The sequence below is a fragment of the Homo sapiens genome, chromosome 2 (genome assembly GCF_000001405.40).
Source record: "Homo sapiens chromosome 2, GRCh38.p14 Primary Assembly".
Lineage (NCBI taxonomy): Eukaryota > Metazoa > Chordata > Mammalia > Primates > Hominidae > Homo > Homo sapiens.
In genome coordinates this window covers 135850380-135866846 of record NC_000002.12, presented here as the reverse complement: position 1 = coordinate 135866846, position 16467 = coordinate 135850380, and the positions used below count along the sequence as shown (strand labels likewise).

The window sequence follows — 16467 nt, the reverse complement described above, 5'->3', positions numbered from 1 at the left end:
TCTGCTAATGGGTCAGATAGTTTAGAATACGTCCGTATTTGTGGTATTTAATTTAGATTATATGGCATCTGAAAGGTATTGCTTCTCATTCTTGGTTGGTTGTTTGTCTGTATTACAGGTTCGTATTCAAGAGACCCAAGCTGAGCTTCCTCGAGGGAGTATCCCCCGCAGTTTAGAAGTAATTTTAAGGGCTGAAGCTGTGGAATCAGCTCAAGCTGGTGACAAGTGTGACTTTACAGGGACACTGATTGTTGTGCCTGACGTCTCCAAGCTTAGCACACCAGGTCAGTAATCTGTGGCTCAAATTTAACAAATTCTCAGTTACCTAAACTGCACAGTATCTAGCTTCCCACATCTTCATTGTCTTCTTTTTGGCTACCAATCAGAAGCTGAGGAACGAAGTGTGATGAGAATAAAAACAAATTGGTTTTGCCACAAATGGTGCTATTCTGAAAGTATTCAAGGCTTAAGTGAAGTCTTTGGATTTATAGCTTTCATTTATTTGAGCAATTTTGATGTTCAGCACCTTTAATATTTAAGTTGTGAAACAACCTATCATTCTGTTTCAGGAGCACGTGCAGAAACTAATTCCCGTGTCAGTGGTGTTGATGGATATGAGACAGAAGGCATTCGAGGACTCCGGGCCCTTGGTGTTAGGGACCTTTCTTATAGGCTGGTCTTTCTTGCCTGCTGTGTTGCGCCAACCAACCCAAGGGTCAGTCGTTTTGGGGGTTTTTGTTTGTTTTTGAAACAGTCTCTCTCTGTCACCCAGGCTGGAGTGCAATGGCAAAGTCATGGCTCACTGTAGCCTCCACTTTCTGGGCTCAAGTGATCCTACCATCTCAACCTCCTGAGTAGCTGGGATTATAGGTGTGAATCACTGCACCCAGCTAATTAAAAAAACTTTTTTAGAGATGAGGTCTTGCTCTGTTGGCCAGGCAGGCCAACAGTGAGTCTTAGTAGAGTGACAGCTTAAGAAACACCTACCCTGAGCTGCCACGAAATGATAGGATTCTGAAACATCTGGGCTGTCTCATCAATGTTGAGAGCACGGGATGGGGTTAAGATTTGATGAGTTTTAAAACCAAATCTTTTGACGTATGCCTTTCTGATCTTGAAAAAAAGTCTTATTTGATGTCTTACATAAAAGCTCAATGCTTTTAAGTGCAGTGGTACAAATTATCCACGCTGTTTTTTGTTTTAAAGTTTCATAGTTCCTCTGTTATTCTTCTGGAGGAAATACAAATAAAAAGATTTAGTAATCTGGGAAGTAAACTTCTGAGAATGATGAACCCCTGGCAGTATCATTCAGTTAACTTGATTCTGTGTCATAAATGGGAGTTTGGAAAATAGTTCAGTATTGGAAAAAGGGAGTGAACATAATATTCTCTTATTTTATTTGCATCTTTATGTCAGTGATTAACATTCTGCTATCGCTTATCTCTTGAGCATTCAGGTAGCTTTTTTTCTATTTAACTCACTGGACAAATGACATACCCTTAAGTGTCTTTGTTAACTGAGGGCTTACTAGTTTGGGGAGTTGTTTTTTTTTAAACCTTTACAGTCAATAAATTGTGAGGTTGACTTCCCATGCTATGTTGTGTTTGTAATGAAGTTTCTTCTCCTTTATGCTCTTTTGACTGCTTCTATACTAATGATTCTTCCTTTGTTCTCTACCATTAGTTTGGGGGGAAAGAGCTCAGAGATGAGGAACAGACAGCTGAGAGCATTAAGAACCAAATGACTGTGAAAGAATGGGAGAAAGTGTTTGAGATGAGTCAAGATAAAAATCTATACCACAATCTTTGTACCAGCCTGTTCCCTACTATACATGGTAAGAATTCCATCCATTTGTACCATAAACTTGAAATCAAAATAATGATTATAAACAGCCACAGGTGATTTCTGAAAGCACATAAATCAGACTGTGAAAGTTTTTAGTGGGTCTGAAAGAGGTCATTTACAAAAGGACAGGTACATGATTTCACTTATACGAGGTACCTGTAATGTGCAAATTCATAGAGACACGGTAGGATAGAGGTTATCAGTGGCTGGGGGAATGGGAGAAATGAGTTATTTAATGGATAAAGTTGCTATTTGGGATGATGACAAAGTTCTGGAAAGGGATAGTGGTGACAGTTATACAACATAATGTACTTACTGCCACTGAACTTATACACTGAAAAATGGTTAAAATGATAAGTTTTATTATGTATTTTTATCACAATTTTATTTTTTTAAGGAAAAGTTATTTTGTCATCTTATTTCCTGGCCTTATGACAGAGCTGCACTTAAGTGTGTTTCCATATGCGAGACTAGTCTCCTGGCCTTTTTGTGGTTGTAGTCTCCTGGCCTTGTTGGTGTGTGTGTATGTGTTTTAGAGAGACGGGGTTTTGCTATGTTGTCTAGGCTGAAGCACTCCCTCCTGGGCTAAAGCAACCCTACCTCCAGCCTCCCCAGTAGCTGGGATTACAGGTGTAGGTCACCACATTGGCTCTTGTTTCTCTTTTTATTTACCAAAATGGAGTGTTTATGATTGGTTACTTGTTCTGTCTATACCTTTGGCAGTTTCACATTTTCCTGACTCTTGGTTGCAAGCTGTGTTTTGAAGGCTATGACTAAAATTTTAGGCCTGATGCTTTATCTTTGAACTCTTCCATCCTTGTCTTCCATACTCAATTAGGATTATGGTAAGAACTCAACCTTTTTTTATCTTTTTTTATTCTATTTTATTTTGAGACAGAGTCTCACTCTGTCGCCCAGGCTGGAGTGCAGTGGCGTGATCTCAGCTCACTGCAACCTCTGCCTCCCGGGTTCAAGCGATTCTCCTGCCTCAGCCTCACGAGTAGCTGGGATTGCAGGATTGCCCCACAACACTCAGCTAATTTTTGTATTTTTAGTAGAGATGGTGTTTCGCCATGTTGGCCAGGCTGGTCTTGAACTCCTGACCTCAAGTGATCCATCCGCCTTGGCCTCCCAAAGTGCTGAGATTACAGGCATGAGCCACTGCATCCGGCCCTTTTTTTCTATCTAAATATAAGTCAGAGAAGTTTTGTTTGTGGAAGGGATTTTTAGTTTTCTACCTGTTTTGTTTTGTTTTGTTTTGTTTTGTTTTGTTTTGTTAGGGTCTTACTCTTGCCCAGGCTGGAGTGCAGTGACAGCATACATTGCCTACTACAGCCTCAACCTCCTGGGCTTAAACGATTCCCCACCACAGCCCCGAAATTAGCTGGGACTACAGGCGCCTGCCACCATGCCCAGCTAATTAAAAAAAATTTTTTTTTTTAGAGATGGGGTTTTACCGTGTTGCCTGGGCTGGTCTCAAACCTCTGGGCTCAAGCAATCCTCCCGCCTTGGCCTTCCAAAGTGCTCGGATCTTCCAGAGTGATCAGATTACAGGCATAAGCCACCACACCCAGCCTAATTTTCTGCTTTAAGGAATGCCTTGTGTAACTTTGCATAGCACTTTGTTGATGGAGTTCAGAGAGTCGACAGTTCCACAGAAAAATGTTTCTTTTAATAGCACAGTGTTCTTTTTTAAGAAAATTGTTTTTCCTTCTTATTGGATTTATGAACTAAGCAGCTGTAAATTGCATTCAGCATCTTATTTAATCCACATGAATTCAGTTAACATATATTTATTCAGTGCTGGTCACTGTAGGTGATAGAAAAGTGTTATGAACCATTTCCTCAAACTCTTCACAGAACTATAAGAACTGGCATTAAAAAGGACTAGCAAATGTGGTAGGCCTTGGTGGACATAGTTCATTTATCAGGAGAGATCTTTGAGGGCTAAGGCATTGGGTAAGGTTTTGTGTAGGAAGTAGGACTCATGGACAAGTAAAGGCTCTTAGGATGGTGAGCACTGGCACGGTGACATCTGTGGTGTAGGAGAAAACATTGGAACAGTGGTTTAGGTGACTAAGTCCACAGAACAAGAACCAAGATCGGAAGCCAGGTGTTATTACTCCAGTTTTATGCTTTGCTTTAGCTGACTCTGCCTTTCGGTTGGTAAACATGCCTTTACTGTTTCTTCTGAAAGTGTTTAACTTCATGTTGAAAAATTAGTTTTTCATCTGTAGCTTCTTTTCATTTCAGGCAATGATGAAGTAAAACGGGGTGTCCTGCTGATGCTCTTTGGTGGCGTTCCAAAGACAACAGGAGAAGGGACCTCTCTTCGAGGGGACATAAATGTTTGCATTGTTGGTGACCCAAGTACAGCTAAGAGCCAATTTCTCAAGTAAGCGTTTGCCTGATACAGTGTTGCAGGAAAAAGTGTACATAGTTCCCAGGCTGGCTGTGCTACCAAGAATGCAGTCAGTATGGCCTTACTAGGAGTGTAAATTATGACTATGTTGAATATATAATTCTCATAGATTAAAGTTATGGCAACATTGTACAATTTTTTAGAATAGGGAAAAATTGCCTGTAATACCAATCTCACATTGAACTGTTTAGTCTTTGTATAATATCTTTGTAAAATATATTTGTATAAAATTTTATACAAATTTTATTATTTGTATAAAATTTTATACAAATTTTATTATTTGTATAAAATTTTATACAAATTTTATTATTTGTATAAAAATATGAATTATGTATTTTCATTATTGTAAATCATATTATACATACTTGTAATTTCAATTTTCTATAAACATTTTTTCCATGTTTCTTTTCGCATGGAAAAATCTCATGAGTTTGTCATTTTCACAATTGTCTTTTTTTGTTGGTATACTATAGCTTACAAAATCATTTTCTTAGCCCTGTTAAATTTAACAGGATAGTTTATTATAATAATTACCGATATAGATGCAGTGAACATCATAATGTTATATACATTTTTTGTTTGTTTCCTCTGGGTAAATTGCTAGATACAGGATTGTTGAGACTAAGAATACAAACATTTGTAAGGTTTTAAAATAGGATGTACTGGCCGGGTGCCATGGCTCACGCCTGTAATCCCAGCACTTTGGGAAATCAAGGCGGGCGGATCATGAGGTCAGGAGATGGAGACCATCCTGGCTAACACGGTGAAACCCCGTCTCTACTAAAAATACAAAAAATTAGCCAGGTGTGGTGGCGGGCGCCTGTATACAGTCCCAGCTACTTGGGAGGCTGAGGCAGGAGAATGGCGTGAACCCAGGAGGCGGAGCTTGCAGTGAGCCGAGATTGCGCCACTGCACTCCATCCTGGGCAACAGAGCAAGACTCCGTCTCAAAAAAAATAAAAATAAAATAGGATGTACTTTCCAAAGGGAATGCTGCTATGAGATATTTTATGTTAACTTTGTCAGTGTGAACACAATTTTTGACTGTTTTTAGAAGCTATAATAAATATTTGATTACTTTCAAACTTTTAAGAAACTTAGGGCCCAAAATAAAAGCAACAAGTTTCTGAGCACCTGCCATGTTCTCAGTGCTGTATATGTGTTATGTCTTACTCTAGCAGCACCCAGACAGGCATGTGTATTATTCCCTTTTTTTTTCAGAGAGTCACAACCTCTCCAAGCCTACAAGAAATTTGCCCACTTTCTTGTAGGTGAAAGGTGACACCGAGCCATGAATATTAAAATTCAGATACAGTTGCCTGCAAAACATGTGTACTTCATACTACATCAAGCTGCCTTTTCTTTGTTTTGGAAATTTGTAGCATAGTACCATTTTAGAATATTGAACATTTTTAGTTGGTTTGGAGTTTTATGATTAAATATTTCTTTTGAACATATCACAGACTGAGTTTTAGATTTTAAGATAGTAGTCCTGTGTTACAAAGGATTCTTTTTTTTTTCTTGTCATTCTTTCTCCCCCCTCAAAAAGAAAGATGTACTACAATGTTGCCTCTGGTAACAGTGTCATGTGGTATGTGACAGTCTTAGTGGATTCCATAGCATTTTCTATGTATAAAATCTGTATATAATGATAGTCGGAGTATCCCATCTGGCTGCCTTTTTTTCTTGCCTAATTGTCCTTGATTAGAGCCATCAGTATAATGTTGAATAGAAGTGGCAAGAGCAGACATCCATGTCTTATTCCTGATCTTAGGGGCAAAACATTCAGCCTTTCACCTTTAAGTTTGATGTTATCTGTGGGTTTTCATAGATGCCCTTTGTCAGGTTAAAGAAAAAACCCTTTATTAGACTTAGGAAAACCTCCTCTATTCCTGGTTTGTTTGGTTTTTGTAATGAAAAGGTGTTGGATTTTGTCAAATGCTTTTTCTACATCTGTTTAGGTGGTCATGTAGTTCTTTTATTAATTTAGCATATTGATTGATTTTCAGATGTTAAACCAATCTTGCATTTCTGGAATAAGCCCCATATCTAGTTTTGTTTTGTTTTATTTTTAATTGCAAGACCTTCTGATAGATGATTGTTGCTGTTTATTACTATTAAAGACTTCTTTTAAAATTGATGTTTTAGCTGGGCGCGGTGGCTCACGCCTGTAATCCCAGCACTTTGGGAGGCTGAGGTGGGTGGATCATGAGGTCAGGAGATCGAGACCGTCCTGGCTAACACAGTGAAACCCCATCTCTACTAAAAATACAAAAAAAATTAGCCGGGTGTGGTGGCGAGCGCCTGTAGTCCCAGCTACTCGAGAGGCTGAAGCAGGAGAATGGCATGAACCCAGTAGGCAGAGCTTGGAGTGAGCCAAGATCAAGCCACTGCACTCCAGCCTGGGTGACAGAGCAAGACTCTGTCTAAATAAATAAATTAATTAAATTAAAAAATAAATAAAATTGATGTTTTAGGCTAGGTGTGGTGGCTCACGCCTGTAATCCCAGCACTTTGGGAGGCCAAAGTAGGTGGATCACCTGAGGTCAGGAGTTCGAGACCAGCCTGGCCAACATGGTGAAACCCCATCTCTACTAAAAATACAAAAATTAGCCGGGCATAGTGGCGCACACCTGTAATCCCAGCAACTCGGGAGGCTGAGGCAGGAGAATCGCTTGAACCCATGTGGCAAAGGTTGCTGTGAGCTGAGATCACACCACTGTACTCCAGCCTGGGCGACAGAGCAAGACTGTGTCTCAATTAAAAAAAATTGATATTTTTATCAGGTATTAACTCTGAAAATACAAAAATTAGCCAGGCGTGATGGCCCACACCTGTAATCCTAGCTACTCGGGAGGCTGAGGCACGAGAATCGCCTGAACCTAGGAGGTGGAGGTTGCAGTGAGCTGAGATTGTGACACTGCACTCCAGTCTGGTGACAGAGCGAGACCCTCTCAAAAAAAAAAAAGAAAAGCCGAGGGAGAGAAACCTTCCCATTTAGTCTGTGGCATGTGTCTTCATGAATTGCTTAAGCTCTCAAATGTTCTTTCAGTAATTTAAACTCTTCTGCTGGTTTTCCTGGGAAGGGTGCTGTATAATCACATATTAATGAGTCTTTATGTGATAACCTTGAACAGGCACGTGGAGGAGTTCAGCCCCAGAGCTGTCTACACCAGTGGTAAAGCGTCCAGTGCTGCTGGCTTAACAGCAGCTGTTGTGAGAGATGAAGAATCTCATGAGTTTGTCATTGAGGCTGGAGCTTTGATGTTGGCTGATAATGTAAGAACATTTTACACTCTTCAGTATAAAGAAGTCAGAATACCCCTACCCTATCAGTAAAGGCCTATAAGTTACCATTAAAAAGATGTCCTTAAAAACAGCATTCTCAGCTGGGCGCGGTGGCTCACACCTTTGTCCCAGTACTTTGGGAAGCCGAGGTGGGTGGATCACCTGAGGTCAGGAGTTCGAGACCAGCCTGGCCAACATGGCGAAAACCCATTTTCTCTACTAAAAATACAAAAATTAGCCGGGCATGGTGGCGGGTGCTTGTGGTCCCAGCTACTCAAGAGGCTGAGGTGGGAGGATCACTGAGCCCAGGAGGTGGAGGCTGCATTGAGCCAAGATTGTGCCACTGCACTCCAGCCTGGGTGACAGAGCGAGACTCTGTCTCAAAAAAACCAAAACAAAAAAAACCCAGCATTCTTTAGTAAATAATTCATAGTTTTCTTCATCTAGAATTTAAAATTGTGATAGTTGATCAGCATGTCCTGAGCACGTGTGTTTGCTGTTACTAGTTTAGATCGGTAGATGTGTATATAAGTTATAGGTATAAAATCAATCCTGAGTTGACACAAGGTTTTGATGTTGAGTACAAGTACAGTAAGTGTATATTTTTAGTTATGCTCTTAGTTTTAAGTCAATTGTGTGGTTCTTTCTAGCTTTAGGATCTGTTGAATTATCTTCCTTAGAAAAGGGAGTTAAGAATCTTCACTTACCTATCTTCTACTTGTTTGGAGAATAGAAGAGTCCCTGTGGTAGCAGACTTTGTGAGTTTACTTGTAATTTTCCATCTGAAAGACTGTTCTTGTTTTTCGTGATGAAGTCTTGCTCTGTCGCCCAGGCTGGAGTGCAGTGGTGCAACCTTGGCTCACTGCAACCTCTGCCTCCCGGGTTCAAGCAATTCTCCTGCCTCAGCCTCCCGAGTATCTGGGATTACAGGTGCACACCACCACACCTGGCTAATTTTTGTATTTTCAGTAGAGACGGGGTTTCACCATGTTGGCCAGGCTGGTCTCGAACTCTTGACCTCATGATCAGCCCACCTCAGCCTTCCAAAGTGCTGGGATTACAGGTGTGAGCCCCCACACTCGGCCGTTGTTGTTTTTTAAGAGACAGGGTCTCACTCTGTCACCTAACCTGGAGTACAGTGGCAATCATGGCTCACTGTAACCTCAAATGCCCGGCCTTAGTGAAGCGTTCTTCCTGCCTTGGCCTCCCAAAGTGCTGGGATTACAAGTGTGAGCCATGCATCCAGCTTGAAAGACAGCTTCTTAGGCTTGATTTGTTTGGTTACAGGGTGTGTGTTGTATTGATGAATTTGATAAGATGGACGTGCGGGATCAAGTTGCTATTCATGAAGCTATGGAACAGCAGACCATATCCATCACTAAAGCAGGAGTGAAGGTATGTGTTATCTACTTCTGTTCTGCTGCATCGTCCATAGCCTTGTTGATTAATGTAGTACTAGAGAAGTTCACCTGGATAAAATTCATTACTTCAGTGTGTAATGCTGTTCATTAAAATGGAAAATACAGCCCTGAGAATTATTTATTGAAACTATAAATGTTGTTTAGAGTACTGTGTAAATGTATTGCCATGATAATAGAGGAAAATGTCCATGAACAAAGCTTTTATTTTCTTTGATAAAGCATGCTCCAATTATAACAAAAATAACCAAAGATCAACAGATTGATTATATATGTATATATTTATTTATATTAACAGAGTATTTAAATGAAAATAAGTATGACAGTATAACCAACACTAGGGAGAATCTAAACTTTAAAAGCTACAGATTCAAGTAGCTTTTAAGCAGTACACAATTGTAAATTGAAAAGACAACTCTTTCCCTGCAACTCCCAGCAACAGTAGATACTTAGAGGTATCTAATGGATAAAAAGGAATTTTAGGAGGAGGAAAATAAGGCATCTATTGAGTTTGTGCCCCTTTTAGGAATATTTTGTACATAAGCATAATACTGACAATTTCATTCCTGCTGGTTTAACTTCATAATTTTATTTTGGCAATCTTTTACCAGCACATATTAGATCAACTTTGGTTTTTTATTAATTTCCCATATTCAATTGTGTATACCACAGCTTGATTCTTTAGACTCCTGTTGAGTGACATTTGGTTCATTTTCAGTGTTTTGTATTACAAACAAAATTGTAGTAAGCATCCTTGAACGCAACATCCTTTTATATTTGGCTATAAGAGAAATTTCTAACAAATTGATGTCTTCAATGGTGTGCACATCATACCACCAAAATCACATAGGAGTTCCTGTTTATGTGAAAAAGGGTATGTCATTATTTTGGTTTGTGTTTAGTTAATTATGGGTGAGATTGAACATGTTGTTATATATTTATTGGCTGATGTCTATTTAAATCTGTTAAGATTCTTTCTTTTGTGGTCAGGCTACTCTGAACGCCCGGACGTCCATTTTGGCAGCAGCAAACCCAATCAGTGGACACTATGACAGATCAAAATCATTGAAACAGAATATAAATTTGTCAGCTCCCATCATGTCCCGATTCGATCTCTTCTTTATCCTTGTGGATGAATGTAATGAGGTAACCCCATGAGCTTCCTTTTTTATTTCCAGTTGGAGTAATCGAGTGAGACAAGGCTGGAAGATACACTGCTCAACAGCTGGTGCATGTATGTGCACCAGCCTTTGATTTCCCTCAGGGTGGCACAGGATCGGACAAAGGGTTTAGTAAGCAACTCAAAATAAAGTCATTTGAATTGCCTCTTCCACTTAATTGTGTTCAAGAATTAAGTTTTCAGGTTTTGTTACTATTTATTTCTCAAAAGGAAACAAGTTACAGTTAACTTCCAACCACACTTTTTATTTTTTTAAACAGCCTCTCACTGGAGACTGGGCTGGAGTGCAGTGGCACAGTCTTGGCCTACTGCAACCTCCACTTCCAAGGTTCAAGCGATTCTTGAGTCTGAGCCTCCCAAGTAGCTGGGATTACAGGCATGTAACACCATGCGTGGCTAATTTTTATATTTTTAGTACAGACAGGGTCTCACCATGTTGGTCAGGCTGGTCTTGAACTCCTGGCCTCCAGTGATGCACACCCACCTCAGCCTCCCAAAATGTTGGGACTATAGGTGTGAGCCACTGTACCTGGCCCCAACCACACTCTTAAGATTTTTATACAATTTTTTGTTTTGTTGATTGGGCTTTTATTTTATTTTTCAGTCACCTTGAAAAAAACTGGGATGCCAAAGAAATTTCTTTTCTTCTTCTTTTTTTTAATCATGAGTCATTTATCTTTGTATTTTTTCCTATCAAGTTGCTGAATGTATTTTACCTTTTTTTCTCACTTTTAAGATTGAGTGAAAAAATGTAGATTTACTTGGATTCTGATATGTTAGTTTAATTATTAGAGTTATGTGTACTTAAATATTTAATAATGCACTTCAGATGCCCACAGAACTATAAAATGACAGTTTGTAGGAACTAATATTTTAGGCTGTACTTTTTAAATCATTCAGCATTGAGGTTCTACATTTTATTGGGTACAGTGCACAGCTCTTTGTTACAGTGGAACTTTAAATATTATCTAAATAAAAGTAGCCTTCCATTTTGTGAGTGTTTGGAGGGCTTGGATTTTTATTTATTTATTTTTTAAAGACAAAGTCTTACTCTGTCACCCAGGCAGTGCCACAGTCATAGCTCACTGCAGCCTCAATCTCCTGGGTTCCAGTGATCCTCCTGCCTCAGCCTCCCAAGTAGCTGAGACTACAGCTCTGTACCACCATGCCTGGTTAATTTTTTCATCCTTTTGTAGCAACGGCAACAAGTTCAAGACCCGTGTTGGTCTTGAACTCTTGGCCTCAAACCACCTTACCACCTCAGCCTCCTGAATAGCTAAGATTGTAGGCCTGCACCATCACACCTGGTTTGGTTTGGTTTGGTTTGGTTTGGTTCACTTTTTTTCCCTTCACAAGAGAGACATATTTAATTACCAGATAATTGAGTTGTCTGATTTTCATACATTTATGTTTGTTCATGATTCATTAAAGTAGCTTTAGTAGCAGATCAAGTTATAAACCTTTAAAAGATCAATTTATAAACCTTTAAAACATTCAAGATTTTTTTAAAACTGTTTTCTTTAGTTTTGTTTTGTTTTGTGACGGAGTCTCACTCTGTTGCCCAGACTGGACTGCAGTGGCACAATCTTGGCTCACTGCAACCTCCGCCTCCTAGGTTCAAGTGATTCTTCTGCCTCAGCCTCCTGAGTAGCTGGGATTATAGGCGTGTGCCACCACGCCTGGCTAATTTTGTGTATTTTTACTAGAGACAGGGTTTCACCATGTTGGCCAGGCTGGTCTCAAACACCTGACCTCAGTTGATCCACCGACCTCAGCCTCCCAAAGTGTTGGGATTACAGGTGTGAGCCACCGCGCCCGGCTTGTTTTGTTTTTGAGACAGGGTCCCACTCTTTCCTGCAGTGGCGTGATCATGGCTCACTGCAGCCTCAGCCTCCTGGGCTAACACAATCCTCCCACCTCAGCCTCCCGAGTAGCTGGGACCACACATGTACACCATTGTGTCTGGCTGACTTTTGAGTTTTTTGTAGAAACAGGATTTTGCCATGTTGCCCAGGCTGGCTGCAAACTCCTGAGCTCAACCAGTCTGCCCACCTCAGCTTCCCAAAGTGTTGGGATTATAGGCATGTGCCACCATACCTGGCCAAAAAGCCTTTTCTTTTTCTTTTTCTTTTTCTTTTTCTCTTTTTTTTTTTTTTTTTTTTTTGAGATGGAGTCTCGCTCTGTTACCCAGGCTGGAGTGCAGTGCTGCCGTCTCACCTCACTGCAACCTCCGCCTCTCAGGTTCAAGTAATTCTCCTGCCTCAGCCTCCTGAGTAGCTGGGATCACAGGCGTGTGCCACCATGCCCGGCTAATTTTTGTATTTTTAGTAGAGACGGGGTTTCACTTTATTGGCCAGGCTGGTCTCAAACTCCTGACCTCAGGTGATCCCGTCTTGGCCTCCCAACGTGCTGAGGTTACAGGCGTGAGCCACCGGGCCCAGCCTGTTTTATTTTAGTTATTTATTTTGAGACAGGGTCTGGCTGTATTGCCCAGGCTGGAGTGCAGTGGCATGATCTCAGTTCACTGCAACCTCTGCCTCCTGGGCTCAAGCCAGCCTCCCACCTCAGCCTCCTGAGCAGCTGGAACTACAGGTGCAGGCCCCCATGCCCAGCTAACTTTTGTATTTTTTGTAGAGACCGAGTTTTGCCGTGTTGCCTGGACTGGTCTTGAACTCCTGAGCTCAAGCTATCCACCAGCCTTGGCCTCTCAAAGTGCTAGGATTACAGGCATGAGCCACTGTGTTCCGCCCAGACAACTTCTTAATTAGAAATAATTTCAAGCTTACAGAAAAGTTGCAAGAAATGGAATAGTGCATAGAACACCCATATACCCTTTACGTGATTCACATAATAACATTTTACCCTGTTTGCTTTATTGCTTACTGTCTGTATATATCTGCACACTTTTTTCCTGAACCATTTGAGAGCAAGTTGCATATTTTGGGGTCTTTTTTTTTTTTCCAGTATTCTGGGATGAATATCTTCAAAATTTAGTGGCTAAGAGCACAGTCTCTGAAGCTAGACTATTCAAATCCTGGCTCCACTACTTAACTGTGACCTTGGATAAATTACTTAACCTTCCTAGGCCTCAATTTGCCCATGTATAAAATGGGGATAATATCATTTACCTAATAAAATTTTTGTGAGGATTGCATAAGTTAATTCTTCTAAGACCTGCCTAAGAGAACAGTGTCTCATACACTGAGGGCCCTATAAATGTTAGTTCTGCTATTTTTGTTGTTTTGTTTTTGAGATAAGGCTTACTCTGTTGCCCAGGCTGGAGTGCAGTGGTGCAATCATGGCTTCACTGCCCCTTCAACCTCCTGGGCTCAAGTGATCCTCCTGCCTCAGCCACCTGAGTAGCTGGGATTACACATGTGCACCACCATGCCCAGCTAGTTTTTTTGTAGAGACAGGGAGGGTCTCAGTTTGTCGCCCTGACTGGTCTCAAACTCTTGACCTCAAGCTCTTCTCTCACATCAGTCTCCCAAAGTGTTGGGATTACAAGTGTGAGCCACTGCACTTTACCCTACTATTGTTTTTAAAGCCAATCAATTCCTTCAGGTATAGTTTTAGAGTGGGGCAATGGTATACATTTAAACGTTTGATTTTAAATCCACCTGTTCCCAAACTTTCATCAGAAACTTGGTACCCATTAATACTTCTTTAAGTGGTATATTAGAGCTTGTTTTTGGCGATAAATCATTTCTTATTGCCTGGGATAGTCTGGAGAAGATATTGCTGTGACTATCAAAGTGATTTTTTTGTTTTGAATTAGGTTACAGATTATGCCATTGCCAGGCGCATAGTAGATTTGCATTCAAGAATTGAGGAATCAATTGATCGTGTCTATTCCCTCGATGATATCAGAAGATATCTTCTCTTTGCAAGACAGTTTAAACCCAAGGTAACCTACCCTTTTGTACTGGGATAAGGTATAATGGGTATATTAAAGTGGAATTTAAGTAAGTGTGTTATATGGAAATTAACTGAACCTGTCATCTACCTTAGTTCCTAAATTTTACAACTTTTTTTTTTTTTCTGGAACAGCAATTTGTTTTTTCAGAGAGGGCTGAGAAAGGGAACTGTAAAAAAAATTCTGAATAATTCCATTATTTGTTTGGTGGTAATAAAAAGATTTGTATGGGAGAAGAGTTTTGGATAACTGGATAATCTAGAACATTCTTTTATTTCAAACATTACTAAGAACGTTAAAATTGTTTATGCGCCTAAATCAATAGTTGAATCTTTCTTTGAAGGAAACATTGGATTCATCTAGGCCATTATGATAAATATAAATTACTGTTTTACAGTGATTGATGCATTGTATTGGACTAACTCTGTTCTGGACCCAGGATTCTTACCTGGACATAAACCCCCAAATGCTTGGCATTTTCCCAAAATAGGGTATGAAAAGGAAAAAAAATACTCATTCTGGTTGAGATTTTCACACTGTTGGCTAACTTGACTTCTGGAAGGTGTTACTAGGTATTGATCATTTATCATCTTCACTTGATTATTCATGAGATTGCAGTTGGCTCTCACTGTCCCAAAGAAATTTAATCATTTAAAACTAAGGATTATGGGTGATTCTTGTGTAAAAAAGAGCATCTGTTCTCCATTACTGCATACTGATATACTGATCCCTCTGTAACCTTGGCATGCTTCCTTAATATGGTGAATTCCTTGCTCTGAAAAGCTGAGGATCCTTTAGATATAAAGTTTATTGAAACAGCTTTTTTTTCCCTGCAAAGAGTGTGAGTTAATTAATTGAGCCTCAAATACTGAGCATTAATTTATTTAATGAGCACTGACATCCTGAGGTGTAAAAGACATTACATCTTGTTCCATTGCTTCAGCTTGTTAAGCAGCTTTTAGAAATGGTCATTTGCTTAAATACTAAGCCTTTTTTCAGGTTCATAAAATTAGTAACATGGAATTCACAAGCCTCCTTAATATTAGTTTCTTTTGAAAGACATTACAATAGTAATTTATTGTCACTGGCTTCTCAAAGTTTCAACCCTCTCAGGTTCCCTAAATGTTTCCACCTGGAAGGCTCTTAAACTTAGGTTTACCGTAGCTCTCATCAAATAGAAATGTTTCTCTAACTTGAGTGATGATCTGAAACAGATTTCCAAAGAGTCAGAGGACTTCATTGTGGAGCAATATAAACATCTCCGCCAGAGAGATGGTTCTGGAGTGACCAAGTCTTCATGGAGGATTACAGTGCGACAGCTTGAGAGCATGATTCGTCTCTCTGAAGCTATGGCTCGGATGCACTGCTGTGATGAGGTATCAGAGTCACTTTGATATGATGAGAGCAGAGATAAACAGATTTGTTGCATGTTTTTAATCTTTGGTATGGGACATACTAGAATTCACTGCAAATACATTTTTATGTAACTGTTGAATGCTCATACGACCATGGAATTCTTCCCTTTAAAGAGCTTGGTAAGCATTTGAGTGTAGTTGTTAGACGGAGACGATCACGTCATAGTTTATAGAGTGCATAAAGACGTAAGTTACCATTTAATACCTTTCATTCAGGAAAAATGTACTTAGACCCTACAATGTACTAGTAGGCCTCTGCGCTGGCAATACAGATAAGATAATGTAGCCCCTGGCCTCAAAGGAACTCTCCTCCTTAGGTTGCATTTGTATAATGTTTGATTTTTAGATTGTTCTTTGAGCCCTGCATTCCACGAGGATAGGTCAGTGGGTATTAACGAGGTAAAAGGGGAGTAGTACGAAAGGGCATTCAAGCGTCCCATCTTCGCTTCAACCAAAGCAGCCCTGCGTTTTCCTAGTTTTATTAATAGGTTTGATGTAAGGTCGTCTTTGAAAAGGGGGTTTGGCTTTTTTTTACAGTGTGACTGAGGTATAATTTATAAAAAGGGAAATGTATGGCATGGTGAGTTTTTTCACATACATCCTTGTGAATACCCAGCTCAAGATCCAAAACATTTCCATAATTTCAGAAAGTTCCAAACCCCTGCCTCTTTTCAGTCTTAGCCCTCTTCCCCTGAAGTAACCACTGTTCCGACTTCAATCACTACTTTTATCCCACAGGTTAATTTTTTGGCTTTTTTCCACTAAATTTTCAAATTCTTTGATATGGTACTTTACTATTGACGAAGTACTTTCACACTAGGTTATTTAATATTCTTTGATTCACCCAATATTTAGGGAACACCTGTAGGGGACAAAAAATGAATGAGAGCCCCTGCCTTCCATTGCTGCTAATCTGGTGGGAACGAGACATGTATTTAATTAAGCATGTAAAAAATAGAGTGGGTGATGAAATAATCTATATA

At 39.9% G+C, this 16467-nt stretch overlaps 1 protein-coding gene across 1 annotated transcript in view; it reads left to right on the top strand.

Annotated features, from left to right (window-relative positions):
- Positions 1-16467, top strand: part of MCM6 (minichromosome maintenance complex component 6) — a 36818-nt gene that overhangs the window by 9597 nt on the left and 10754 nt on the right. Inside the window, exons 5-13 of the mRNA NM_005915.6 lie at positions 119-284; positions 570-715; positions 1684-1834; positions 4099-4240; positions 7405-7546; positions 8843-8950; positions 9964-10119; positions 13932-14060; positions 15284-15445. Of these exons, the coding sequence (NP_005906.2) occupies positions 119-284; positions 570-715; positions 1684-1834; positions 4099-4240; positions 7405-7546; positions 8843-8950; positions 9964-10119; positions 13932-14060; positions 15284-15445 (1302 nt within the window). The remainder of the gene's footprint in view (positions 1-118; positions 285-569; positions 716-1683; positions 1835-4098; positions 4241-7404; positions 7547-8842; positions 8951-9963; positions 10120-13931; positions 14061-15283; positions 15446-16467) is intronic.